Source organism: Homo sapiens, chromosome 16 (assembly GCF_000001405.40).
Source record: "Homo sapiens chromosome 16, GRCh38.p14 Primary Assembly".
Lineage (NCBI taxonomy): Eukaryota > Metazoa > Chordata > Mammalia > Primates > Hominidae > Homo > Homo sapiens.
Window position 1 is genome coordinate 29973355 of NC_000016.10, and position 22840 is coordinate 29996194.

Sequence of the window (22840 nt, forward strand, 5' to 3'; positions counted from 1 at the left end):
CCGTAAGAGATTTGACCGATTGAGTTTTCCCAGCGTCGACGCGCAAAGATTCCTCGCACTTGGAGGCCCTTTTCCAGGTTAGATGGTTGCTAACCTCGGAGCAGTCTATTTTCCCGCCTTTTCCGCGCCCAGCAGCAGCTTCCTTTGCCCCTCCCAACTTCCACCCTGCGCGCAGTCGCAGATCGCCGCTGCTGTCCGTCCACCCGCGCCCCCTCAAAGCTTCCCCTAGCAACAAGCTCGGGCTCAGAGCGAAGGCGGGGCGAGCGCATGCGCTGCAGCTCTGTCCACCGCCAGTCGTGGGACAGAGTGCCGGGCTCCTCCCCTTGCAAGTCTAGCTCTTCTCCCCGCCTCCTCCGGCCTGGGGTCCGCGTGGCGGGGCGGGCGCGCACTCGGGCTTGGCGGCTGCCGGTCTCCCAGGCCGCGGCAGTGAGGAGAGAGGGCGGGGCTGAGTCCTCTGCGCCCCCGCCCCCTTTAGCCCGGCGTCCCTACCGCGCCTGCGCGCTCCCGCCCGGTCTCCATCTTGGAATTGGGAGGAAGAGGGAGAGGGAGACCGGGACGAGACCGGGGCTGTGGTGCGGAGAGAGGCTGAGACGGAGAAGAGGAGAGGCAGAGAGGGCGCGGGGACCGTCAGCAGCACCTTAGCTACAATCGTTCAGCTATTCTCGGAAGAGAGAAGGGAGAGGGAGGAGGCCGGGGCGGGAGTGGGGGCTGTCACCCTCGGACCCCGGCGTGAGAGGGGCCGTGCGGCCGGACGTCCTCGGGGTGGGCCCCCAGTCGGTGGCCGAAGACCTACAGCTCAGGCCCCTGGGTCCCAAATTTCCAGGCTTTGCCCCTCCTCCTTTCTCAGATACCCGGGTAACAGTCCTCATAGTCCAGATATCCGGGACTCGGGTCCCAACCTCTCTAAACCTGGGTCTCTGTTTCATAGAATTTCAAATATCAGGTTCAGGCCCCTGCGTGCACCAGTATCCGGGGTTCATTCCCCGGGCGTTCAAATATCGGATTCAGTCTCCATCCCGTTCAGATATTCGGGGTTCAGACCCCACAATCAGAAATCCGGAATTCGGCAGCTGTCGCCCTCGACGAGGGGGAGGACTGGACCGCGAGGTCAGATTAGGTTGTCACCCCCTCCCCTCCAGGGGAGGCTTCCCGGGCCCGCCCCTCAGGAAGGGCGAAAGCCGAGGAAGAGGTGGCAAGGGGAAAGGTCTCCTTGCCCCTCTCCCTGCTTGGCAGAGCCGCTGGAGGACCCCAGGCGGAAGCGGAGGCGCTGGGGCACCATAGTGACCCCTACCAGGTGAGACACGGGGTGCAGGGGCGCGGGTCCCTGTGTCTAGTTCTGAGAAGAAAGGGTGCGCCTTTCTGAGAAGCTGGACTTGGGTAGGCCCTCTCAGGATGGGGAAGCCCAGCTGAGCGAGTGGTCAGCCTCTGGCTAGCCTTGCCTTCTGTTGCCACCCCCTTCCCCTTCCTCTTCCCTTCATTGTGTCTGGTTGGTGGGGGACCTCAGGTGACAGGGTCTCTGATGTCACCGGCGTTCACACCCTAGGGTGCTTCAGCTAATCAGATGGATTTGCACTTCAGTCTTCTCTCCTTCACTTTGCCCCTCACAGCCACCTCTCCTCCCTGATATGTCCCGTTCTCCTGGCTATTCTGTGGTTTTGATTCCCATGCCTCTGATTCCCATGGTGGGTCTGCTTATCTGCTTTTCAGGCCTGGTCTGGTTGGATTTCTTGTCCTTGCAAGGAAGTGTGTGTATATGTGTTTGTGTGTATGCGTGTGTGTGTGTGCTTGGAGGTGCCTGGCAATGTTTTCCCCCAGCTGCAGTTACCTTCCAACCTCTTGCTGTGATGGTGTCAATAATCTCATCCATTTGTCAAACGATCTGTCTTTTACAAAGTGCTTTGACAGCCATTCTCTCATGTGACATCCCCGCATTCACCCTGTGGGGGCCTCTTTTATTGGCATCTTCCCATTTTACAGTTGAGAACGTTGAGGCCGAGAGAGGTTGCCCAAGGTCACACAGTGGCAGAACCAGAATTTGAACTCAAGTCCTCAATCACATCTTTCCCTGATGCATGCCTGGTTCTTGCCATCTCTTTTCCTCTGAGTTTGGGCTCGGCCAGGGGTCCCTAGGAGTCCAGGCTGGGGTGAGGTTTAAGAATGGGGATGAGATGAGCTTCCTTTCCAGGAGGGCTCTACTCAGAAGCTTTTCCTGATGGGAGCCTCTGGCTTTTGCCTCTGCCTCATGGAGTTTTCTATCCACTGTGACCTTCATCTTTACCCCAATCCCAGGGTTTGGCCTGGATTCCTGAGAGGGCTCTCTCCTGACAAATGGTAGCACTAGTGGCATCTTTTAACTGTTCAAGCCAAGCTGTTGGGGTAGAATGATCCCCCAAAGGATTAAAGCTTTGTGGGGACCTTGGAGGCAGGGAAGGAAAAATCCATATGCTGAGTGTCTGCATGGTGTTCCTAAGTATGAGATCTCATTAAAATCTTAACAACAGCTCCATGCTGTAATCCATTTCACTGAAGAGAAGACCAAGAACTGGAAGGAACTTATTTAAAGCCCTGTTGCTGTACATTGCAGACGGGATGTACTGGTAGCATAGCTTAGGAACAGATAGATACGGGTTTCCTCATCTGTAGAATGGAGATAACATTGTTCGTTTTGGAAGGTGGTTATGATTTAGCACAGACCTTGGTTATTGTTCAAGTGTTTGTTGTTATTATGGGGAAGGGGACCTGCATGATGTTTTGCCAGTGGGTGGCACCCCTCCGTGTGGCCTAGGTTAGCATTCTGGGGCCTTGTGTTGGTAAAGAGGTCAGGAAGATTCCTTTGGCAAGTTGAGAGCACCTGCCTTTGTGTGTGGGTGTGTGGTGCTGGTGAGGGGTGCTTGGCACTGTTGCTGGCAGAAGGGAGAAAAGGGCCGGCTTTGAGCAACCTGCGAGCTGCTGAGGGCTGAGCAGAGAGCAATCACTCAGTCTCCCAGGCTATTCTGAGCCCTCTGCACCCTGGGGGCCCACTGGAGAGTCAGGCTCCCTCCTTGCCCTCCAGCTTCCAGTTGGGCTGAGACAAAATTAACAACACAACAGGAAACAATGCATGACAGAATAAATTACATGCTAAAATTGTTAGGTGCTTTTGAGTAGCTAGAACTCTGCCCCAGGAGTCCAGCTCTGCTGAAGGCTCCTTTGTGCCTAAATTCTGACAAGTGCTTAGGCTGGAGCCTGTCTTGGAATCTCCTTGAGGGTTTTGGTTCTGGTATCCTGCAGGAACTTTCTCCGGGTGTTTGGTTGGGTGCCCTAGGTGCTCTTCCCAATGGCTGGAGTGGTCAGGACAGGCTTCCTGCAAGAGGGGAGCTGAGCTTGGGGTGACAGCTGAGAGAGTAATGGATACAGGCCTAACCGGGGAGCCGAAGGTCCTGTTCTCTGACCTTGGAGAAGTCCTTTTTCTTCTCTGTGCCTCAGTGACCTCACCTAGGAAATGGTGATCATGATTCTGCCCTGCCTGTTTCGAAGGGCTGCTCTGAAATCATAGTGATGGAGGACCAGCTTTGGACAAGGCACTTAACCTTGCTGAGCCTGTTTCTTTATCTGTAAGATAGGGGAAATCATAGTACTTGCTTCATAAGGTTGTAGTGAGGACTGAATAGAGATAATGCACGTAAGGTACTCAGTAAATGTTATTTGTACCCTGCAAATGTCCTGTACCTGTGTGTGATGCTTATGCAGTTGGACAGGACAAGTAAGGTGGCCCAGAGCACAGAGAGGCCCTCATAGCCAGATGCCATTTATATCCCTATTCTTCCCATTCTAGATCTCCCCCTGACTTTTTTGAGAGTGACTTTGCGGGCTCCTCTGGGCCAGTACCCACTTCTAACAATGGACGGATTTCCACCGCCTCCGGCCTGGCCATTTCCTGTTCTCTTCCAGGGTGTGAGAGGTTGAGGGAGGAGGGGGCCTCAGCGCCAAGGGGAACAGAAAGGTGCCTGGAAACAGTTGGGGTATAGGACTTATGGGACAGGACACTTGGGGCTCTGGAGTGCTGGCTGGGAAGCAGAATGTTTTATCCTTGAGGGGAGATACAGGGGCTATAGGGAAATGAGAACTTGTTGAGCACTGAAGGGGGTGGTGAGGATACTTAGCTTCCCAGAATCTTCCTAGCAGTTTTAGGGACTCCAGGGACCCAGCCCGCGTGATCTGGTTGCCAGGGCAACTTCATTTTTTGGAGCTTTGATGTTGTTCCTAATCTCCCCCTCCCCTTCCTCAGCAGTGCCTCCTCCTCATCAGGGAATGAGGGGAGGAGATGGCAGAAACTTGATGGGTCCCTTCCTCTCCCTGAAGGCTCAATCCTTGATCTCTAAGGGTCCCATTTCCATTCCTCAGGCCAGGCCCCACTCTCAGGGCCCCCAGGGGCCACCATGCCAGCTGGGGGCCGGGCCGGGAGCCTGAAGGACCCAGATGTGGCTGAGCTCTTCTTCAAGGATGACCCAGAAAAGCTCTTCTCTGACCTCCGGGAAATTGGCCATGGCAGCTTTGGAGCCGTATACTTTGTGAGTTGGGTCTTGGGAGGGTGTAATAGGGATGGGGACTCTTCCTATCCCTGTGGACTTCCCAACAGCCCTTGCACACTACTCCATCACACTGGTCTTTCCTGCCTTCTCTTGCTGGGCCAGCAAGTCTTCCCATGCCCGGCTCTCAATGGGGCCTTCAACACCTTCTGGTCTGGTCCTCTAGGCCCGGGATGTCCGGAATAGTGAGGTGGTGGCCATCAAGAAGATGTCCTACAGTGGGAAGCAGTCCAATGAGGTGGGCCAGGTGCAATACAGCCAGGTTGGGGACAGGGGACTCCTGTCTCAAGATGCAAGCTGGGTAACCTCTGCCTACCCTGACCCCCTAGAAATGGCAAGACATCATCAAGGAGGTGCGGTTCTTACAGAAGCTCCGGCATCCCAACACCATTCAGTACCGGGGCTGTTACCTGAGGGAGCACACGGCTTGGGTGAGCTGGTGCCAGATTCTGGCCTGATCTTTACTCCTATTCATGCCCGTCCTTATCGTAGTCCAGTCTCTTAGGTGGTCCCTGTTCGTGGTGCTGTTGTGGGATCTTGGGAAGGAGGAAGTCTCTTTTGACCGCTTTAGTCCTCAGACATACCCACTGAGCAAAAGCCTGGCTCAGTGACACAGGCTGTTAGCAGGTGGGACAGGTCACTGTGGGCTGGAGAAGGTGGAGATTGAATGGGAGTTTGAAGGGATTCAGATGGGCAGTGGTGAATGTCTTGGGCCCAGACTCTAGAAACTCTCCCACCACCCCCTCATTGTCTCCAGTTGCGCTTCCTCCCTGTCATCACCCCGGGGACATAGCTTGAGTACAGGACAGTCAAGGAAGCTCTGTTTTGAGTCCCTGCCCAGGAGACTCTGATCTCTGACCCTTGTCTCTTCCTTAGCTGGTAATGGAGTATTGCCTGGGCTCAGCTTCTGACCTTCTAGAAGGTAAGTGACTGATAGGCCAATAAGTGGAGAAGGGAGAAGAGCAGGGGAGCCATAGGGAAGGGTTAAGGGGAGTTTATTCCAGTCCCACCCTTGCGCTCCCTCGGGTTGATGTTCTTCCTCACTCTCCAGTGCACAAGAAACCCCTTCAGGAGGTAGAGATCGCAGCTGTGACCCACGGGGCGCTTCAGGGCCTGGCATATCTGCACTCCCACAACATGATCCATAGGTACAAGCAGCACCGGCAGTGCCTGGGAGGGGAGTGCTATCTGCACCACCTGTCACTTAGCTGGGCTGCCCCTGCCTAGCTTTCTTGAGACACATGTCTCATCCCTGTACTTTGCCTCTGGCAGGGATGTGAAGGCTGGAAACATCCTGCTGTCAGAGCCAGGGTTAGTGAAGCTAGGGGACTTTGGTTCTGCGTCCATCATGGCACCTGCCAACTCCTTCGTGGGCACCCCATACTGGTGAGTGAGTGAGTGGTGGTGAGTGGAGAGACCTCCCAGGGATGTTGGGAGTAGGAGTGACAGGGTCTCGGCGGGTGATTTGCCTCTCTCTCCTGACCATTCTCCTAGGATGGCACCCGAGGTGATCCTGGCCATGGATGAGGGGCAGTACGATGGCAAAGTGGACGTCTGGTCCTTGGGGATAACCTGCATCGAGCTGGGTAAGAACATCCTCCCTGTTCCCTCATCATCTTTTCCATTCTTTCCTGTTAGTTCCCAGACTCCGGACTACCCCCTTCTCCTAGGGATGGGATCCCAGGCCTCCAAGTTCCTGTCCGTTGTGACTCTACCCTGGAGCCCAATACAGGCAGCTGGCAAATTCTGCCAGCTCTTAGGCCTAGAGATTTTGTAGCATTCATCTCTTCCTGTCCACTACCCTGGTTCTGAATCTTTTCTTAGTGCCCACCATGTGCTGTGCCATGGACTGTGATTCTGGAGGGATAGCAGTGAATGAAAATCCTGCCCTCATGGAACTTACATTTGATTTAGGGAAACCAGGCAGGCATGTTTTCTTTCAATGTGATGAACGCTGTGTGGAGAAGTTACAGGAGCGGTTCAAATGTAAAACAGGGGACTTGACCTAGTTTAGGGGCTGAAGAAGGCCTCCTTGTAGGAGAATATTGAAGCCAACCTGCAAGATAAATAATAGCTGTTTGCAGAATGTAGGGAAGAGCTTTCCAGGCAGAGAGAACAGCATGTGAGAGGCCTAGAGGTAAGTGCAGGCCTGGGGAACTGGGACTAGCTTCAGTTATTTGGAACCTAGCATGTAATGCAGAGAATATTGAAGGATAAGGCCAGAGAGTTAGGTCCAAGTGAGTTCCTAAGGCCTTGAAGCCATGCCAAGGTTCTCATCTCTGTCAGCCAGCACTATTGAAACAATTCTTTAATGAGGTAGGTAACCTTTATAAGGCTTCCAACACAATGCCAGGCACAAAACAGTTGCCTAAGAGTTGCTGTTAGTTTCTCTTATCAACAGCCTCCTGCAGTGATCTCTCCAGTCTCTTCTCCCTTCCAGTCTGTCTTAAGTACTGATGCCAGAGAGGTCTGCCTAAGCTCAGTGCTGTCATTTCACTCCCTGTTTGGAGCCATGAGTGGCCCCCTGTTGCCTTCAAGACTGAAGCCATCCCCATCCTTCCTCCCACCAACCTAGAGGCTTTGCTTCGTAAATGCTGGCCCTTTCCTTCATGGGCTCCACCCTCTGAGTGTGTCATGAACTCTTCCACTTCCTTGCCTTGGTTCGTATTGGGTCCTCTGCCCGAGGTCAGAGATTTGGACGAGCCCTTCTCCTCCATCTTCACAGTCTCCATTTACCATTAGATGCCAGGCCCAGACAGTTGATGAAAAATGTAAGAAACGGACCCAAGTATAAGAAAAAGCTAGATCTGTCCATTTTATTTCTAGTTTTTGGAAGAGATGTGGATACAGAGAAATATTACTCTACTATTGAAAAAAATATATATCAGTCTGATTATAAATGTCAACTCATACTAAGTCAATATCAGGGAAGCAGTGTGGAGAAGGATGTGGCAAACTGGAGATTGCTGTTTCCATAGAAAGAGGGCAGCTAATGCTTATCTCCAGACCATTGTTATGCAGTAATGTAGACTCCATTTCACCAGATTTAATTCTTAAGGAGAAACTGGAAACTTGTATTATTATTTGATTATTACTTTTGGCAGTTAATTTTAAAAATCACCGTTTAGGCCAAAACAACATGACATTTGTCTGGGCTACAAGGGACTCTTAGCGACTCTTAGCTTGCACTTACCTTTCTAATCTCAGGGCTTTTTACAAAGCCCTTCTCTGAATTCCCTGAAGATATGCTAGCTTGAAGGCTCACTGCATACTCTCAACTTCCCAGCCACTTCCCTGTTTCCCTCTTATACCAGTTAATACTTTGATGTTATTTTTTCAGTCCTATTTAATCTTTTAGACTGGAGGTTCCTTGAGGGTGGGGCCTAATTCTTGTTTTTATCTTCCCCATAGCAATTATCAAGTTATCTGCTCCCTTTGGCACCTAAGAAATATTAGTTGGGGTGATAACTGAATGGCTGTCCTTCTGCCTTCGTTACTGCTTTTGTGGATGTTATTTTCTTTGACCCCTATTCCACCCGTGTGCAGTGGAGAGGATGGGTGTTGTATTTTACAGAGGAAGGAATTAACTGAGACGCAACAGGATGATGGGAACTTCTCAAGGTCATGTGGCAAGGAAGTCAAGGAATTGGGGTTTGAACCCAAGTCGTCTCAGTTCCATTCCATTGTCCTCTACCCCCTGCCACCTCTCACCTTCTTCCCTTTCACCTTTTTCTGTAGCTGAACGGAAACCACCGCTCTTTAACATGAATGCGATGAGTGCCTTATACCACATTGCACAGAACGAATCCCCCGTGCTCCAGTCAGGACACTGGTGAGGACTGAGATTCCGAATCTGGGCCCAGGCGTTAGGCCATGGGGTATGGATGCCTGACTCATGCCTTCCCCACCCCTCTCCCACCCTCCTGTGACTTTCAGGTCTGAGTACTTCCGGAATTTTGTCGACTCCTGTCTTCAGAAAATCCCTCAAGACAGACCAACCTCAGAGGTTCTCCTGAAGGTGAGGGCCTGCTGGCCTAGCATTCTCCTGGAACTGTAGCTTGTTACAGCCACAAGAACCCCCAGGGAAATTAGTGGTTCCCAGTTCCTCCTCCACCAAGAGCTTCGTTGATGAATTCCCACCCCATCCCCAATGCCTAGTGGACTCTGTGTTTTACAAGATTTTGTCTACCAGACTGCCTTAATTTATTAAGTAATAAACTGTTTTCCCTTCTTTTATTAATCAAAGATTTATATAATTGCCAGCCAGAGCTTCTGGTCAGCATGTGATAACCAGGGTTGCCCCACTGATCTGATGTAATGCAAGCCAAAAGCCTGTGTAGCCTTATCATGGGTAAATGTATGATTTCCCTTAGGTGTTTTTTGAATTATCAAAAATGGAGGGGCCCCATTCCCTTCACAGACCCATGGGGGCCTGAGGAGCCGTAGTTGGAAACTTCAGATTATGTAGTTGGACCCACTTGTTTTATAATTGTAGGATACTGTATGAAGCCCAGAGGGGCCTCATGACATGTCCAAGGTCACATAGCCCTTTAGTAGAGGAGCTGGACGAGAATCCAGTTCTCCTGACTGTCCCTGCCTGTCAGCCATGCTTAGAGGAAGAAGAGTCTGTCTGGGGAGTAGGTACTGGGTGGTACAGAAAATTGTGAGAGAAGGGCTTGGGATAAGGCCAGCATCAACCCGTGGTGGGCGTGGGCCCCAGAAGAGTGCCTCAGGCCTGAGGGAATGCCAAGGGCTGTGGGTTGTGGGGGGAAGGGGAGTTGGCAGCAGACCTCAGTGCCCTCTTCCCCCAGCACCGCTTTGTGCTCCGGGAGCGGCCACCCACAGTCATCATGGACCTGATCCAGAGGACCAAGGATGCCGTGCGGGAGCTGGACAACCTGCAGTACCGCAAGATGAAGAAGATCCTGTTCCAAGAGGCACCCAACGGCCCTGGTGCCGAGGCCCCAGAGGAGGAAGAGGTGACCCAGCTTGCCCTAACACCCCTCTTTATACCCCATGTGTGCCTGCCCCCTGCAGTTGCTTGGCCCCTTCCCCAGCCCTACTCACACCACCATCTTCCCATGCTACCTCCATGCATATGCCCCAGGGCTTCCCCTTCCCTGTCCAGCAGCCTACGCCCTGTTCGCAGGAGGCCGAGCCCTACATGCACCGGGCCGGGACTCTGACCAGCCTCGAGAGTAGCCACTCAGTGCCCAGCATGTCCATCAGCGCCTCCAGCCAGAGCAGCTCCGTCAACAGCCTAGCAGATGCCTCAGACAACGAGGAAGAGGAGGAGGAGGAGGAGGAAGAGGAGGAGGAGGAAGAAGGCCCTGAAGCCCGGGAGATGGCCATGATGCAGGAGGGGGAGCACACAGTCACCTCTCACAGCTCCATTATCCACCGGCTGCCGGTACACAGCTCACCCTTGGGGGACCCGAGCCACCTGCTCTAGAACTGCCTGGGTCTTCGCCCTCCTTCCCTAAGTGCAGCACTCCTCTGAGTCTGATTGGCTGTCCTCAGGTAGCTCTCTTTGGACCCAGTGGCCTCTGAGCCTTGGGTGTTCCTTCTATCTCCCTCTAGGGCTCTGACAACCTATATGATGACCCCTACCAGCCAGAGATAACCCCCAGCCCTCTCCAGCCGCCTGCAGCCCCAGCTCCCACTTCCACCACCTCTTCCGCCCGCCGCCGGGCCTACTGCCGTAACCGAGACCACTTTGCCACCATCCGAACCGCCTCCCTGGTGAGTGTAGCCATCCTCACTCAGCCTGCTCGCTGTCTGTTTTTTAAGTCTTTTTAAGTCTAGAAATGATTTCCTCCCTGTGGCATGGGATTGAGTCTGGATTCTACCCTCATTTTCTGTTGCTGGCTCCTGCCTGCTCCCCTTAACCCTCCTGCTTCCCTCCTCTTCCCAGTGGACTGTTTTGGTCATATGGCCCAATCTGGGTGTTTCTAGCTTGGCAAACTCTTACTCCGTTTTTGTGGCCTGACTTAACTGACATCTCCTGGGTTGCCTTCCCAGGCTCCTCTGGTGAGTCAGATGCTTCACAGTTGTGTGCTGGGGAAGCCCAGTGCTGGGGGAGCCCTGTGCCTGTGGAGCCCTGTGCTGGGGGTGTCCAGTGCTGGGGAGCCCTGTGCCGGGGGTGCCCTGTGCTTGGGTGGTCCTGAACAGCATCATGATAGGTTTGCCAGATTCTGTGCCCCAGAGGGCAGGGATGGTGTTCAGATATCTGTCTCATGCCAGCAGTTAGCTCTCAGGCTTACACACAGGCCTGTGTTAACCCTCCCAGCCCCCCTGGGAGGGGAAGGGTAAGATCCCATTGGAGAAATGAGGCACCTGTGGCTCAGAGGGGCCACTTGCCCCAGTGCCTTTGGTGGCTCTCTGCTCCTGTAAGCAGGCCCTTAGTCCTCTCCTAAAATCAACTCATGGCAGTCTTTCTCAGTTCACAGGAAAAAGTGTTTAGGCTTTTCATAAAACATAGTTTTTCATCTATGTTTTTAGATCACGTTCCTGCTGAGCTGCATTTGAGCGTCAACAATCCCCTTAGAGGCCACTGATTAAGTCTAGTATGTTCTTATGGCCTCTGCTTGGTGCTGGTTGTGTTCCAACAATTCTTCAGATCCCATGGTGTTGTGCGGTACTGTGCTGAGAGGTCTTGACTGCCAGGGGCTTGGCTGCCGGGACTAGTTTGAGAGCCACTCATAGAGTCAATTGAGAATGAGACCTGAGATCAGACTTTGGATGAAGGTGTCCAAGCCCAGTGTTCTTGTTATTCCAGCATCTTGTGGCCCCGATCCCACCTCAATACCTGGGGAGTGATAGGCCGACCATGTTTGCTGAAGGGGAAGGAAGCCAACACTTATTAGATAGAGTCCGAACTTACCCCACAGCCCCTATGAGGAGGTATTATTTCCCCATTTAACAGATGAGGGAACTGGTGCTTTGAGAAGTTAACTTACTTGAGATCACATGCTTGGTAAGTGGCAAAGCTGGGATTTGATCCCAGGTATGTCTGACTCACTGTTTCAAATTAGTATGGATTGTTCCTACTTTTGTGCCAGGCCCTGTGCTCGCCACCTTTTATCATTCGGCCACACCAACTTGTGATGTAGATAATATCACCATTATCCAGTTGAGGAAACAGGCTAGAGTGGCCGTGTGTGAGGAAGGTGTTAAATGAGAATGAAACCCATGAGTTGAAAACCCATGCTCTTCCCCACGGAAGACCCCTTGTGTTAATTAACTAGGGGCCAGGCTGAGCCCCAGCTCTCACCCTCTCTCCTTCCCCAGGTCAGCCGTCAGATCCAGGAGCATGAGCAGGACTCTGCGCTGCGGGAGCAGCTGAGCGGCTATAAGCGGATGCGACGACAGCACCAGAAGCAGCTGCTGGCCCTGGAGTCACGGCTGAGGGGTGAACGGGAGGAGCACAGTGCACGGCTGCAGCGGGAGCTTGAGGCGCAGCGGGCTGGCTTTGGGGCAGAGGCAGAAAAGCTGGCCCGGCGGCACCAGGCCATAGGTGAGAAGGAGGCACGAGCTGCCCAGGCCGAGGAGCGGAAGTTCCAGCAGCACATCCTTGGGCAGCAGAAGAAGGAGCTGGCTGCCCTGCTGGAGGCACAGAAGCGGACCTACAAACTTCGCAAGGAACAGCTGAAGGAGGTGAGCTAGGGCTGCTTGGGGGCGGAGCCGATGGCGAGCCAGGTGGGTCCTGACCCTGCTTCCCTCTGCACTCGCCCAGGAGCTCCAGGAGAACCCCAGCACTCCCAAGCGGGAGAAGGCCGAGTGGCTGCTGCGGCAGAAGGAGCAGCTCCAGCAGTGCCAGGCGGAGGAGGAAGCAGGGCTGCTGCGGCGGCAGCGCCAGTACTTTGAGCTGCAGTGTCGCCAGTACAAGCGCAAGATGTTGCTGGCTCGGCACAGCCTGGACCAGGACCTGCTGCGGGAGGTAGGCATCCCAATCTCTGTTCCCCTCCCGCTCACTCGTGGATCCCAGGGACCCACCCTTTTCCATTTTCCTCATTCTTGTCTTCTTTCTCCTTGGCCCTCGAGTGTTACAGTTCAGCTTTGCTTCAGTGCCCCTTTTACTTCTCATCCCCAACAGACCCTGCCAGAATTTCCTTAGGCCTCTTTTCCCAGGCCAGGGAGGAGCTTGCCTCCCCTACACCCTCATCTCCTGCCATCCCCAGCTCCCTCTGCCAAGGAGCCCTGGCCCCTCACTTCCTTGATACTGACCAGGCCCTGGGCCCTGTGTTTCTTCCGCCATCCCCAGCTCCCTCTGCCAAGGAGCCCTGGCCTCTCACTTCCTTGATACTGACCAGGCCCCGGGCCCTGCATTTCTTCTGCCTCAGGACCTGAACAAGAAGCAGACCCAGAAGGACTTGGAGTGTGCACTGCTGCTTCGGCAGCACGAGGCCACGCGGGAGCTGGAGCTGCGGCAGCTCCAGGCCGTGCAGCGCACGCGGGCTGAGCTCACCCGCCTGCAGCACCAGACGGAGCTGGGCAACCAGCTGGAGTACAACAAGCGGCGTGAGCAAGAGTTGCGGCAGAAGCATGCGGCCCAGGTTCGCCAGCAGCCCAAGAGCCTCAAAGTACGTGCAGGCCAGCGCCCCCCGGGCCTTCCACTCCCCATTCCTGGGGCTCTGGGCCCACCCAACACAGGCACCCCTATAGAACAGCAGCCCTGCTCACCTGGCCAGGAGGCAGTCCTGGACCAAAGAATGCTTGGCGAGGAGGAGGAAGCAGTTGGAGAGAGAAGGATTCTGGGAAAGGAAGGGGCCACTTTGGAGCCCAAGCAGCAGAGGATTCTGGGGGAAGAATCAGGAGCCCCTAGTCCCAGTCCACAAAAACATGGGAGCCTGGTTGATGAGGAAGTTTGGGGTCTGCCTGAGGAGATAGAGGAGCTTAGGGTGCCCTCCCTTGTACCCCAGGAGAGGAGCATTGTTGGCCAGGAGGAGGCTGGGACATGGAGCTTGTGGGGGAAGGAGGATGAGAGTCTTCTGGATGAGGAGTTTGAGCTTGGCTGGGTCCAGGGCCCAGCACTGACTCCCGTCCCTGAGGAGGAGGAAGAAGAGGAAGAGGGGGCTCCGATTGGGACCCCTAGGGATCCTGGAGATGGTTGTCCTTCCCCCGACATCCCTCCTGAACCCCCTCCAACACACCTGAGGCCCTGCCCTGCCAGCCAGCTCCCTGGACTCCTGTCCCATGGCCTCCTGGCCGGCCTCTCCTTTGCAGTGGGGTCCTCCTCTGGCCTCCTGCCCCTCCTGCTGCTGCTGCTGCTTCCATTGCTGGCAGCCCAGGGTGGGGGTGGCCTGCAGGCAGCGCTGCTGGCCCTTGAGGTGGGGCTGGTGGGTCTGGGGGCCTCCTACCTGCTCCTTTGTACAGCCCTGCACCTGCCCTCCAGTCTTTTCCTACTCCTGGCCCAGGGTACCGCACTGGGGGCCGTCCTGGGCCTGAGCTGGCGCCGAGGCCTCATGGGTGTTCCCCTGGGCCTTGGAGCTGCCTGGCTCTTAGCTTGGCCAGGCCTAGCTCTACCTCTGGTGGCTATGGCAGCGGGGGGCAGATGGGTGCGGCAGCAGGGCCCCCGGGTGCGCCGGGGCATATCTCGACTCTGGTTGCGGGTTCTGCTGCGCCTGTCACCCATGGCCTTCCGGGCCCTGCAGGGCTGTGGGGCTGTGGGGGACCGGGGTCTGTTTGCACTGTACCCCAAAACCAACAAGGATGGCTTCCGCAGCCGCCTGCCCGTCCCTGGGCCCCGGCGGCGTAATCCCCGCACCACCCAACACCCATTAGCTCTGTTGGCAAGGGTCTGGGTCCTGTGCAAGGGCTGGAACTGGCGTCTGGCACGGGCCAGCCAGGGTTTAGCATCCCACTTGCCCCCGTGGGCCATCCACACACTGGCCAGCTGGGGCCTGCTTCGGGGTGAACGGCCCACCCGAATCCCCCGGCTACTACCACGCAGCCAGCGCCAGCTAGGGCCCCCTGCCTCCCGCCAGCCACTGCCAGGGACTCTAGCCGGGCGGAGGTCACGCACCCGCCAGTCCCGGGCCCTGCCCCCCTGGAGGTAGCTGACTCCAGCCCTTCCAGCCCAAATCTAGAGCATTGAGCACTTTATCTCCCACGACTCAGTGAAGTTTCTCCAGTCCCTAGTCCTCTCTTTTCACCCACCTTCCTCAGTTTGCTCACTTACCCCAGGCCCAGCCCTTCGGACCTCTAGACAGGCAGCCTCCTCAGCTGTGGAGTCCAGCAGTCACTCTGTGTTCTCCTGGCGCTCCTCCCCTAAGTTATTGCTGTTCGCCCGCTGTGTGTGCTCATCCTCACCCTCATTGACTCAGGCCTGGGGCCAGGGGTGGTGGAGGGTGGGAAGAGTCATGTTTTTTTTCTCCTCTTTGATTTTGTTTTTCTGTCTCCCTTCCAACCTGTCCCCTTCCCCCCACCAAAAAAAGAAAAAGACAAACACAAATAAAATATCTGAGCGGAACTGTGCCTTTGGCCCAGGCTGCCTCTGTCTGCTTTGTCCTGCCGCCTAGCCTCCCCGGTATGCCCCCAGGCTGACCCTCGGCCCGGCTCCATGACCTCTTCACCCCATCTCCGTTATCTCAGCCCCCTCACTCCTCCAGCCTCATGCTCTCTGCCTTCATAGCTTCATTGCACCATGACCACCACCGGCTCTGGGGTCTGGGCCCCTGTAGAACTTCACCGAACTTCTTGGTCCCACAGAGCGCCTGTTTGCGGGTTCCTTCCAGAGGTCTTAGTTTCCAGGCCCTTGGTCTCCTCATCCCTTGCCTTTTCTCCCAACCATGGCTGCAGGGGACCAAATTGCTCTCCTGCATCAGGCATTACCCTAGTGGGTTGGGGGACGGGGCTGCAGACCCTCCACAGTAGGGGGTGCTGAGCTGGGGGCAACCAGGCGGAGTATGAAGGCTGTGGCAGCAGGATTGAGTGTGGGCCTGGAGTGGGAGCTGAGTGTGTGAGGGGCCGGGCTGGAATGCGGATCTGGTCAGGGTGGTAGCTGCTGGCCGGTTGAACTTGTCAGGCCCTTTCTGGCCACCTCCTTTGCCCCTTTCTCCTCTGCGGCCCAAAATGGGGCAGCCCCTTCTTACCCATTTCTCAGCTCGGTGCTTCTCCTCCTTCCCTGCCTTCCTCCCTGAGCTGCTGGACCTGGGACTTCCTGTGTCTGTCCTTAGTCGTGTTGCTTTCTTCATGGGTGTTTTGTGTGACTGGTTCTTCTCGCTTGTTCTCGTGCACGTTCTCATATTTGCTCACGTGCTTCTGTCTCTAGGTCACAGTCTCTCCCTCTTTGCCTGGTCAGAGCTTCCAAGATCCTCAGTTCCCTGTCCAGTAACTCCGATGTTCTTTCTCGTGGGTATCGCACCCAACTCCGTGCACGTGCTCTTGGAACCTCTTGTCTTCTCTGCATCTCTTGCCCATCGAGACCTTCCTGATCTCTCTCAACACGATCCCACCTCTCCATGTCTGTCTGTCTGTATACAGCTCCCCCCACCCCCTCTGTCTAACATGTTTTCTGTTTCTCTCCCTCTCCCTGTCTCTGCTTCTGTCTCCTCTCCTCTTCTCTCTCTTCTCCCCATTTCCCCTGGTTGTTCCTCCTCTTCCTCTTCCTCCTCTTCCTCCTCCTCTTCCCCGCTGCCCCCATCTCCCCTTGATCCGTCCACTGCATAGTCTAAGGAGCTGCAGATCAAGAAGCAGTTCCAGGAGACGTGTAAGATCCAGACTCGGCAGTACAAGGCTCTGCGAGCACACTTGCTGGAGACCACGCCCAAAGCTCAGCACAAGAGCCTCCTTAAGCGGCTCAAGGAAGAGCAGACCCGCAAGCTGGCGATCTTGGCGGAGCAGTATGACCAGTCCATCTCAGAGATGCTCAGCTCACAGGCGGTGAGGCCTGGGGTCCAGGGAGGGAGTGCGCTAGAGGCCAGGCTCTGTACTTTGCTTTAGAGAAATGGACGGTGCAGGGCATGCACAGAGCTGGGGCTTTTTTACTTGGGAAACTCACATACTCTCCCTCTGTTCGTGTTCTCCACAATGATTTATTTCATATTCTCCTCAGTGGTTTTATTCTTTCTCTTAGTATTTTCTTAAGGTCTTGACAAAGCCATGTGCCTATTCCCAAGAACCACCAAGGAAAAGAGTGGCTATTATTTTTTTCCTGGGCCTGAGTTAGTTTAATGGGTAAACAGGGTGCAGATTAAAGTGAGTGTGGCCCTCAAGCCCATTTACTCAGACTTCTGGAGGATTTTGAAAGTTGCTGTTCTAAAAAAATGATCACACCTAACACTGGAATGGGCCACTTAAAATGTGCGGAGAGGGTGGAGAGTGGAAACGCCCCACCCAAGGCTGTTCTCTCACCCAGTCCCACCTCTCCCAGGTAACTTGTTAATAATTAACTGTATTTTGTGTTTTTTCAGTGCACATTTTGAAAAATTATATGAATTTTAAACACAGATGGAATCATACTTTACATTTACTTTCTGTAACTTCTTTTTTCCACTTAATATTTCTTGGACATCTTCCCCTGTCAGTACACCTGTCTCATTTTTTTTACAGCATAGAATTTTCCATGGTATGGCTGTACCATAATTTATTTAACCCATCCCTTATTGGTGGACATTTAGGTTGTTTCCAGTATTTTGCTATCACAACGCTTCCGTGAACACCTCGAGCACATGTGCAAGTATACCTGGGGGATAGATTCTGCAGTGTAATTGCTGTGCCACAGGGTATGACCATCTTCCATTCTGATAGATGTTGAGACCGCTGCTTCTTGAAACCTTAGGGCCCAGGCCTACCTGGGGCAGGGGAGGATAGTGGGGGTGGGGGAGGAGATCCCTACAACTGGTTGTTCATCTTCCCCAGCTGCGGCTTGATGAGACCCAGGAGGCAGAGTTCCAGGCCCTTCGGCAGCAGCTTCAACAGGAGCTGGAGCTGCTCAACGCTTACCAGAGCAAGATCAAGATCCGCACAGAGAGCCAGCACGAGAGGGAGCTGCGGGAGCTGGAGCAGAGGGTCGCGCTGCGGCGGGCACTGCTGGAGCAGCGGGTAAGGGGCCCAGCCTCCAGGACTGGGGAGGGAGGGTGGGCTCCTGCCCCCGACTCTAACCTCTGTTCCGGATGCCCCAGGTGGAAGAGGAGCTGCTGGCCCTGCAGACAGGACGCTCCGAGCGAATCCGCAGTCTGCTTGAGCGGCAGGCCCGTGAGATCGAGGCCTTCGATGCGGAAAGCATGAGGCTGGGCTTCTCCAGCATGGCTCTGGGGGGCATCCCGGCTGAAGCTGCTGCCCAGGGCTATCCTGCTCCACCCCCTGCCCCAGCCTGGCCCTCCCGTCCCGTTCCCCGTTCTGGGGCACACTGGAGCCATGGCCCTCCTCCACCAGGCATGCCCCCTCCAGCCTGGCGTCAGCCGTCTCTGCTGGCTCCCCCAGGCCCCCCAAACTGGCTGGGGCCCCCCACACAAAGTGGGACACCCCGTGGCGGAGCCCTGCTGCTGCTAAGAAACAGCCCCCAGCCCCTGCGGCGGGCAGCCTCGGGGGGCAGTGGCAGTGAGAATGTGGGCCCCCCTGCTGCCGCGGTGCCCGGGCCCCTGAGCCGCAGCACCAGTGTCGCTTCCCACATCCTCAATGGTTCTTCCCACTTCTATTCCTGAGGTGCAGCGGGGAGGAGCAGATGAGCTGGGCAGGGCAGGGGTGGGTGGAGCCTGACCCTGGAGGGCACTGAGCTGGAGGCCCCTGCAAGGGTAGGGGACAAGATGTAGGCTCCAGCTCCCCTCAGACCTCCTCATCTCATGAGCTTCTTGGGGCTGGCCAGTGGCCCAGGGCCAGCTTGGCGATAGGTGCCTCAAGGCTGCCTGGGAGCCCCGCCTCCCTACCATGGTGCCAGGGGTCTCCCTCCGCCACCTAGGAAAGGAGGGAGATGTGCGTGTCAAATATTCATCTAGTCCCCTGGGGGAGGGGAAGGGTGGGTCTAGACATACTATATTCAGAGAACTATACTACCCTCACAGTGAGGCCCTCAGACCTGCCACAGGGCAGAGCAGGTCTGGGGCCTGAGGCAGGGAGAATGAGAGGCCACCTTACTGGCAGGAAGGATCAGGATGGGGTCTTGGGGTCAGGATGCCTGGGTCTCTTCCCGTAACTGTCTGACGTCCTGTGCCGTCTTGTCCTTTATCTTTTTTTTTTTTTTTTTAATTGGGATCAGGGCTGGGGCGGGGAAACAAGGGAAGGACCTTGGAAGGGGCTGCTCCCAGGCCTGGGGGGCAGTCGTGGGAGCCCCTCTCAGCTGTGGGGCTGGCACAGAGCCCCAGGCAAGCTTTTAATAAACTGTTGGTTATTCTAACAGATCTCAGGACTCACCCTTCTGTCTTTGGTGTGCGTGAAGGACTGCTCAGTGGCCACTGAATAGTACTGCTTGTGTTTTATAAAGAGAATTTATTGGGCTGTGTATCTAAACATTTCAGTGATTTTAATGACTTTAGGTGTGACCAGATCTCGGATCTCAAAGGTGGTCTTCAACCCCTTGACCTCTAATTCGTTTTCTTTGCTTTGACTTCAAAGATTCTTAGGTTTGCCTCCCACACAGACCCCAGGCAGCTCCATGCTCACGAATCTTCCCGCAAGCCTCAGCAGCCAGAGTTCAGTGGAGACCTCATGTGACTGCAGAGGCTGGGCCTGTAGCCAGAGGCCTAGAGGGCTAGGACTGGCCCAGGAGGTATGGGCTTTTCCCCACCCCTTTGAGGCTAACAGCCCATGGACAAAGTGGCTGTTTGCATAAGGGAGAAGGCTTAAGCACTGGCTGCCCTCAAGTCATTCTATCCCTCTCCCAAGTGGGCATTAGGTTATCAGACTAGGCTAAAAGCAGAGGGGCCACGGGGTAGGCGGGCAGCACAGGAGCCACACACCCTTCTCCAAAAGGGTCTGGTGGCTGTTGGATGACAGGGTCTGGAGGCAGGGACTTCTTCCAGGAACCCGGGGGAAATTAAAGGGAACCAGGCCAGGGGAGGAGGTGGAGGCAGTGACTACTGCTCAGTTTCCTGGCCCAAAATACAGGAGGTGAGAATGGGGGACCAAATTTGATGAGGTGATTAAAAACACTCCTTTATTGAGTCTTAAAAAATAAACACCTTAAAGGGACAGCGTGAAGCTGAGAAGTAGCATCCCAACAGCTTGTGTCCTTGGGAGCTGCAGTCTTCTCTGAAGGAAGCTGCTTCTGTTCCACAGACACAGGGCAAGGGGTGCTATGTATGCTTTGTACATGTATCAAGGGTCCCTCCTGGGGGTGGCAGAGCTCAGTTACTCTCGCCATCACTGCTGATGATGCCACGCATATGTGACCAGTCTGGGGGTGCGGGACGGGGCCGCTCTTCATCTGAGTCCAGGGTCCGTCGGTACAGCTCCCCTGGGGGTGCTGCTTCTCCTAAAGGGTTCCAGGCTGTACGTCTGCGTGGCCGGCCTAGGGGAAAGGGGAAACGAGAGATCAGATGTCTGAGAAGGTCCAACCCCACCTATCTGCTCCTGGGCAGTGAGAGGAAACCCCTTACCCGAGCCACTGATGATGTTCGCAACATCCAAGGAGGCCACCTCAGCTGCCTCCTCCCTCTGCTCCTTCAGGGCCCGACACTTCCCTAGGGAAGGGGTACCTGGGGCAGAAGAAGCTGGTGATTCTCTCCTCCCCAGCAGGAAGGCCCTCTCCTGCAGCCCCCAGGGCACGCCGGGCCTCACCCTTCATGCCTAGCGCTTCCAGTTCTGCCCGGAGGATACTCAGGCGCTCCTTGTGTGAGCAACAGGAGCCCAACAGCTTCTTGTAGTTTCGATGGGCACCACAGGCCCGAATGTAGCGCTTCAGCCTCATCACAGCCGGGTGGTCCTCTCCACGGCGACCTGAGCCAGCCTAGCAAGGAAAGAGCAGCTGAAGGCCAAGCCTGCTGGGCCTGAGGCAGGGTCTCCCTCTTCCCTAATAGTGGCCTCCCACCCCTCCTCACCCTCACCTTCCCTCCTTTGGCCTCTGGACTTCCATCTGAGGAGGAAGAGGAGCTTCGTGTCCTGCCTTTCCTGGAGCTCTTCTTGGAAGAGCGGTTCTTCCTCTCCCCCTGGGGGCCTCCCCCTGCCTCGCTGTCACTTACCTCCCTCTCCAAGTCACTTTCCTCACCACTGGTGCTGCCCAGTCTGGCCATCTTTCTAGAGCCTTTAGCTGTGGGTTCCCCCTTCCCACTGTCTTCCTCGTCCTCGCTGCTTCCACTCAACCTCTTCCCACCCTTAAGCTGGGTCCTGTCCTCACTCTTCCTCTGCACTGGGGGTTCTCTATCTCTCCCACTGTCATCCCCACTGCTGGCTGCCTCTTTCTGCTCTTCCTCGCTGTCTGAGTCTCCCAAGAGCCTCTTTGCCTGGCTTTTCTGCTTACAGCTCCTCTCCTCCCTAGCTGACTTTCTCCGGCCATTGCTCCTGGTTCTGGGTTTCCAATCCCCCTTTTCCTCATCCTCTTCTTTCTCTTCCTCCTCCACTTCCTCCTCTCTCTGCTCTTTCTTCTGGGCTAGGATCTCCTCTTCACTCTCCTGTTCACTTTCCTTCAGGCTTTTAGTTCCTTTATTTCCCTCCACCTTCTTTGCTGTCCTCTGAACGGGTTCTGCCTCGCTCTCCTCACTTTCTTCCCTGGCCTGCTTCCTACTGACTGAGGCCTTGCCTGGTGCCTGCTTCTTTACCACAGGTTTCTTCCTAGTCTTCCCCTTGTACCCCTTTTCCTCCTCCTCACTGCTCTCCTCTCCCCTCTGTGCGGGCAGGTCCCTCTGCCGTTCCTCATCACTGCTCTCCTCAACTGCCTTTGAGGCTCGCCTTGGATTCTCCTCTTTGGCTGGGCTGACTTCTGCTGCCACCCCATTCTTTGCTGGGGGTCCAAAGTAGTCTGGGCTGGAGGCTTCAGAGCCGGACTCTGGAATATGGAGAGGAGAGAGGGTTGAGACAGGCTCCTCCTGTCCCTTCTCCCTTCACTTCGGATAGGTTGCCTCGAGCCCTGCCCTGACAGTTGGAGGGGCAGCAGGAAACAGCTATCTGTACTTGCTGTTCCCGGTTCCTGACTCACTAGCCTTGCTCCCTCATCTAACGCCTGGGGACATAAGAGATGCGCAGTGAATGCTTCTTGAGTGAACCAACGATGCAGAAGGCCCCCACAGCAGGGAGGAAGCACTAACCCGACTCTGAATTGAAGCGGAACCTTTTTCTCTCCGGGTCGCTACAAGGGGTGGGAGGCCTCTTGCCCTTCTTGGTAAGGTCCAGTTTGTCTTCCCTGGAAGCGGCTTCATCCACCTGTGTGTGCGCCAAGAGGGCAAACTATGCACCAAGGCTGCGCTCACCGCGCCCCGTCAGGCCCCTCCTCCTCAGCAGCAAGCCCCGCCTCCGCCTCCCGCGGCCCAGGCTCCGGCCCGGCACACCTGCATCTTCAGCAGCTCCTCCTCCACCAGCCGCTTCAGTGCCTGCTTCTCCTCGGGCTCCAGGTGGCTGCGGCCCGAGTGAGCTAAGTACCTCCGCCGCACGATGGAATGCGTAAGCGTGCTGCAGGGACATGGTGTCAGGACGGAGTCCCGACCCACCCGCGCCCTTTCCAACCCCATCTCCAACCCCCTGGGCACCTGAGGTCCGGGCGGCCTCGGAAGAAGCTACGGGTGAACTCCTGCATCTCCTTCTCCCGCGCCATTTTGCTCAACCCGGGATTGACGGCTCCCGCCTTTTTTTCTTCTCGGCCTCCGTCAGCGCGTTTGACAGCGGCTCGCGCACGCGCAGTGCTGCGGCAACGTGGGGCGAGGGACCGTTGGCCCTTGGCCGCGGACCGCGTGGGCCGAGAACTTTGCCAGACGAGACTTGTTTTCTCTGGGCAGTTGGAGGGTCTCGCGGCTCCTACCCTTTTTTGGAACGGATCATTTTAAAAGTTCTCGTTAGAAACCAATTCGGCGCCGGCACCCTTTGGGTGAAACCTAATCAGCCCGCGACGCTGCCTTTCTCACTGGTCACGGGCAACAGCTAGGCTGCTGTTATTTCGCAAGGCAGAAGAGAAAAGGCATCCTCGCGAGCAGATGAGGAACCTCGGGGATAAATCCTTTTGTGGCTTCAAGTGTCTAAGTACATTAGAGTCAGGAACGGCGCTTTCCAGCGTCCGCCATTTTTGTGGCGTCACCGCGTCGCTGCTACGCCATCCCCAGCGCAGTGGCTGCCGCGCTCCTGTCCCAGTGTCCCCCGGGAGGTCGGCCCGTGCGGTGACGCCCCTGAGCGCGGGGTACGCCGGGAGT

The 22840-nt window shown here is 55.7% G+C and overlaps 3 protein-coding genes across 17 annotated transcripts, besides 9 other annotated features; 2 read left to right on the top strand and 1 right to left on the bottom strand.

Moving 5' to 3' along the window:
• Nucleotides 204-573: a silencer, noted in NCBI's record as "silent region_7346". NCBI's record gives its function as "represses an Ori minimal core promoter by ATAC-STARR-seq in GM12878 lymphoblastoid cells {active_cell/tissue: GM12878}" and the evidence as "EXISTENCE:reporter gene assay evidence [ECO:0000049][PMID:35858748]".
• Nucleotides 268-1281, top strand: LOC124903762 (uncharacterized). Its single transcript, XM_047435036.1, has 2 exons — nt 268-426; nt 643-1281. The coding sequence occupies exons 1-2, from the start codon at nt 268-270 to the stop codon at nt 1279-1281; spliced, it is 798 nt and encodes a 265-aa protein (XP_047290992.1).
• On the top strand, nt 514-18907 carry TAOK2 (TAO kinase 2). Of its 14 annotated transcripts, none has more exons than XM_011545984.2 (19): nt 514-1294; nt 4384-4550; nt 4735-4806; nt 4898-4999; nt 5445-5490; nt 5620-5716; nt 5841-5954; nt 6063-6154; nt 8307-8400; nt 8505-8586; nt 9380-9547; nt 9697-9978; nt 10149-10310; nt 11859-12224; nt 12304-12507; nt 12911-13150; nt 16239-16451; nt 17430-17612; nt 17693-18907. In XM_011545984.2, exons 2-19 carry the CDS (start codon nt 4419-4421, stop codon nt 18212-18214), a joined length of 3171 nt encoding a protein of 1056 aa, XP_011544286.1. In that variant the 5' UTR covers nt 514-1294; nt 4384-4418; the 3' UTR covers nt 18215-18907. The 14 variants fall into 14 exon arrangements, with proteins under 14 accessions (XP_011544286.1, XP_011544287.1, NP_004774.1 ...); XM_011545985.2 differs by having other exon boundaries at nt 9700-9978; NM_004783.4 differs by having other exon boundaries at nt 9718-9978.
• Nucleotides 997-1768: an enhancer, noted in NCBI's record as "H3K27ac-H3K4me1 hESC enhancer chr16:29985672-29986443 (GRCh37/hg19 assembly coordinates)". NCBI's record gives its function as "activates a minimal SCP1, AML or CMV promoter by ChIP-STARR-seq in primed H9 embryonic stem cells {active_cell/tissue: H9 hESC(primed)}" and the evidence as "EXISTENCE:reporter gene assay evidence [ECO:0000049][PMID:30033119]".
• Nucleotides 1475-1604: an enhancer, noted in NCBI's record as "active region_10685". NCBI's record gives its function as "activates an Ori minimal core promoter by ATAC-STARR-seq in GM12878 lymphoblastoid cells {active_cell/tissue: GM12878}" and the evidence as "EXISTENCE:reporter gene assay evidence [ECO:0000049][PMID:35858748]".
• Nucleotides 2406-2907: an enhancer, noted in NCBI's record as "H3K4me1 hESC enhancer chr16:29987081-29987582 (GRCh37/hg19 assembly coordinates)". NCBI's record gives its function as "activates a minimal SCP1, AML or CMV promoter by ChIP-STARR-seq in primed H9 embryonic stem cells {active_cell/tissue: H9 hESC(primed)}" and the evidence as "EXISTENCE:reporter gene assay evidence [ECO:0000049][PMID:30033119]".
• Nucleotides 2908-3407: an enhancer, noted in NCBI's record as "H3K4me1 hESC enhancer chr16:29987583-29988082 (GRCh37/hg19 assembly coordinates)". NCBI's record gives its function as "activates a minimal SCP1, AML or CMV promoter by ChIP-STARR-seq in primed H9 embryonic stem cells {active_cell/tissue: H9 hESC(primed)}" and the evidence as "EXISTENCE:reporter gene assay evidence [ECO:0000049][PMID:30033119]".
• Nucleotides 17478-18065: an enhancer, noted in NCBI's record as "H3K4me1 hESC enhancer chr16:30002153-30002740 (GRCh37/hg19 assembly coordinates)". NCBI's record gives its function as "activates a minimal SCP1, AML or CMV promoter by ChIP-STARR-seq in naive H9 embryonic stem cells {active_cell/tissue: H9 hESC(naive)}" and the evidence as "EXISTENCE:reporter gene assay evidence [ECO:0000049][PMID:30033119]".
• On the bottom strand, nt 18967-22742 carry HIRIP3 (HIRA interacting protein 3). 2 transcript variants are annotated; one of them, NM_003609.5, is made up of 7 exons: nt 22187-22263; nt 21989-22109; nt 21749-21863; nt 20552-21489; nt 20286-20454; nt 20105-20203; nt 18976-20016 (listed from the first exon to the last, which is right to left on the bottom strand). In NM_003609.5, exons 1-7 carry the CDS (start codon nt 22249-22251, stop codon nt 19853-19855), a joined length of 1671 nt encoding a protein of 556 aa, NP_003600.2. In that variant the 5' UTR covers nt 22252-22263; the 3' UTR covers nt 18976-19852. The 2 variants fall into 2 exon arrangements, with proteins under 2 accessions (NP_001184252.1, NP_003600.2); NM_001197323.1 differs by lacking the exon at nt 20552-21489 and having other exon boundaries at nt 18967-20016; nt 22187-22742.
• Nucleotides 19753-20253: an enhancer, noted in NCBI's record as "H3K4me1 hESC enhancer chr16:30004428-30004928 (GRCh37/hg19 assembly coordinates)". NCBI's record gives its function as "activates a minimal SCP1, AML or CMV promoter by ChIP-STARR-seq in primed H9 embryonic stem cells {active_cell/tissue: H9 hESC(primed)}" and the evidence as "EXISTENCE:reporter gene assay evidence [ECO:0000049][PMID:30033119]".
• Nucleotides 20254-20754: an enhancer, noted in NCBI's record as "H3K4me1 hESC enhancer chr16:30004929-30005429 (GRCh37/hg19 assembly coordinates)". NCBI's record gives its function as "activates a minimal SCP1, AML or CMV promoter by ChIP-STARR-seq in naive and primed H9 embryonic stem cells {active_cell/tissue: H9 hESC(naive and primed)}" and the evidence as "EXISTENCE:reporter gene assay evidence [ECO:0000049][PMID:30033119]".
• Nucleotides 22611-22780: an enhancer, noted in NCBI's record as "active region_10686". NCBI's record gives its function as "activates an Ori minimal core promoter by ATAC-STARR-seq in GM12878 lymphoblastoid cells {active_cell/tissue: GM12878}" and the evidence as "EXISTENCE:reporter gene assay evidence [ECO:0000049][PMID:35858748]".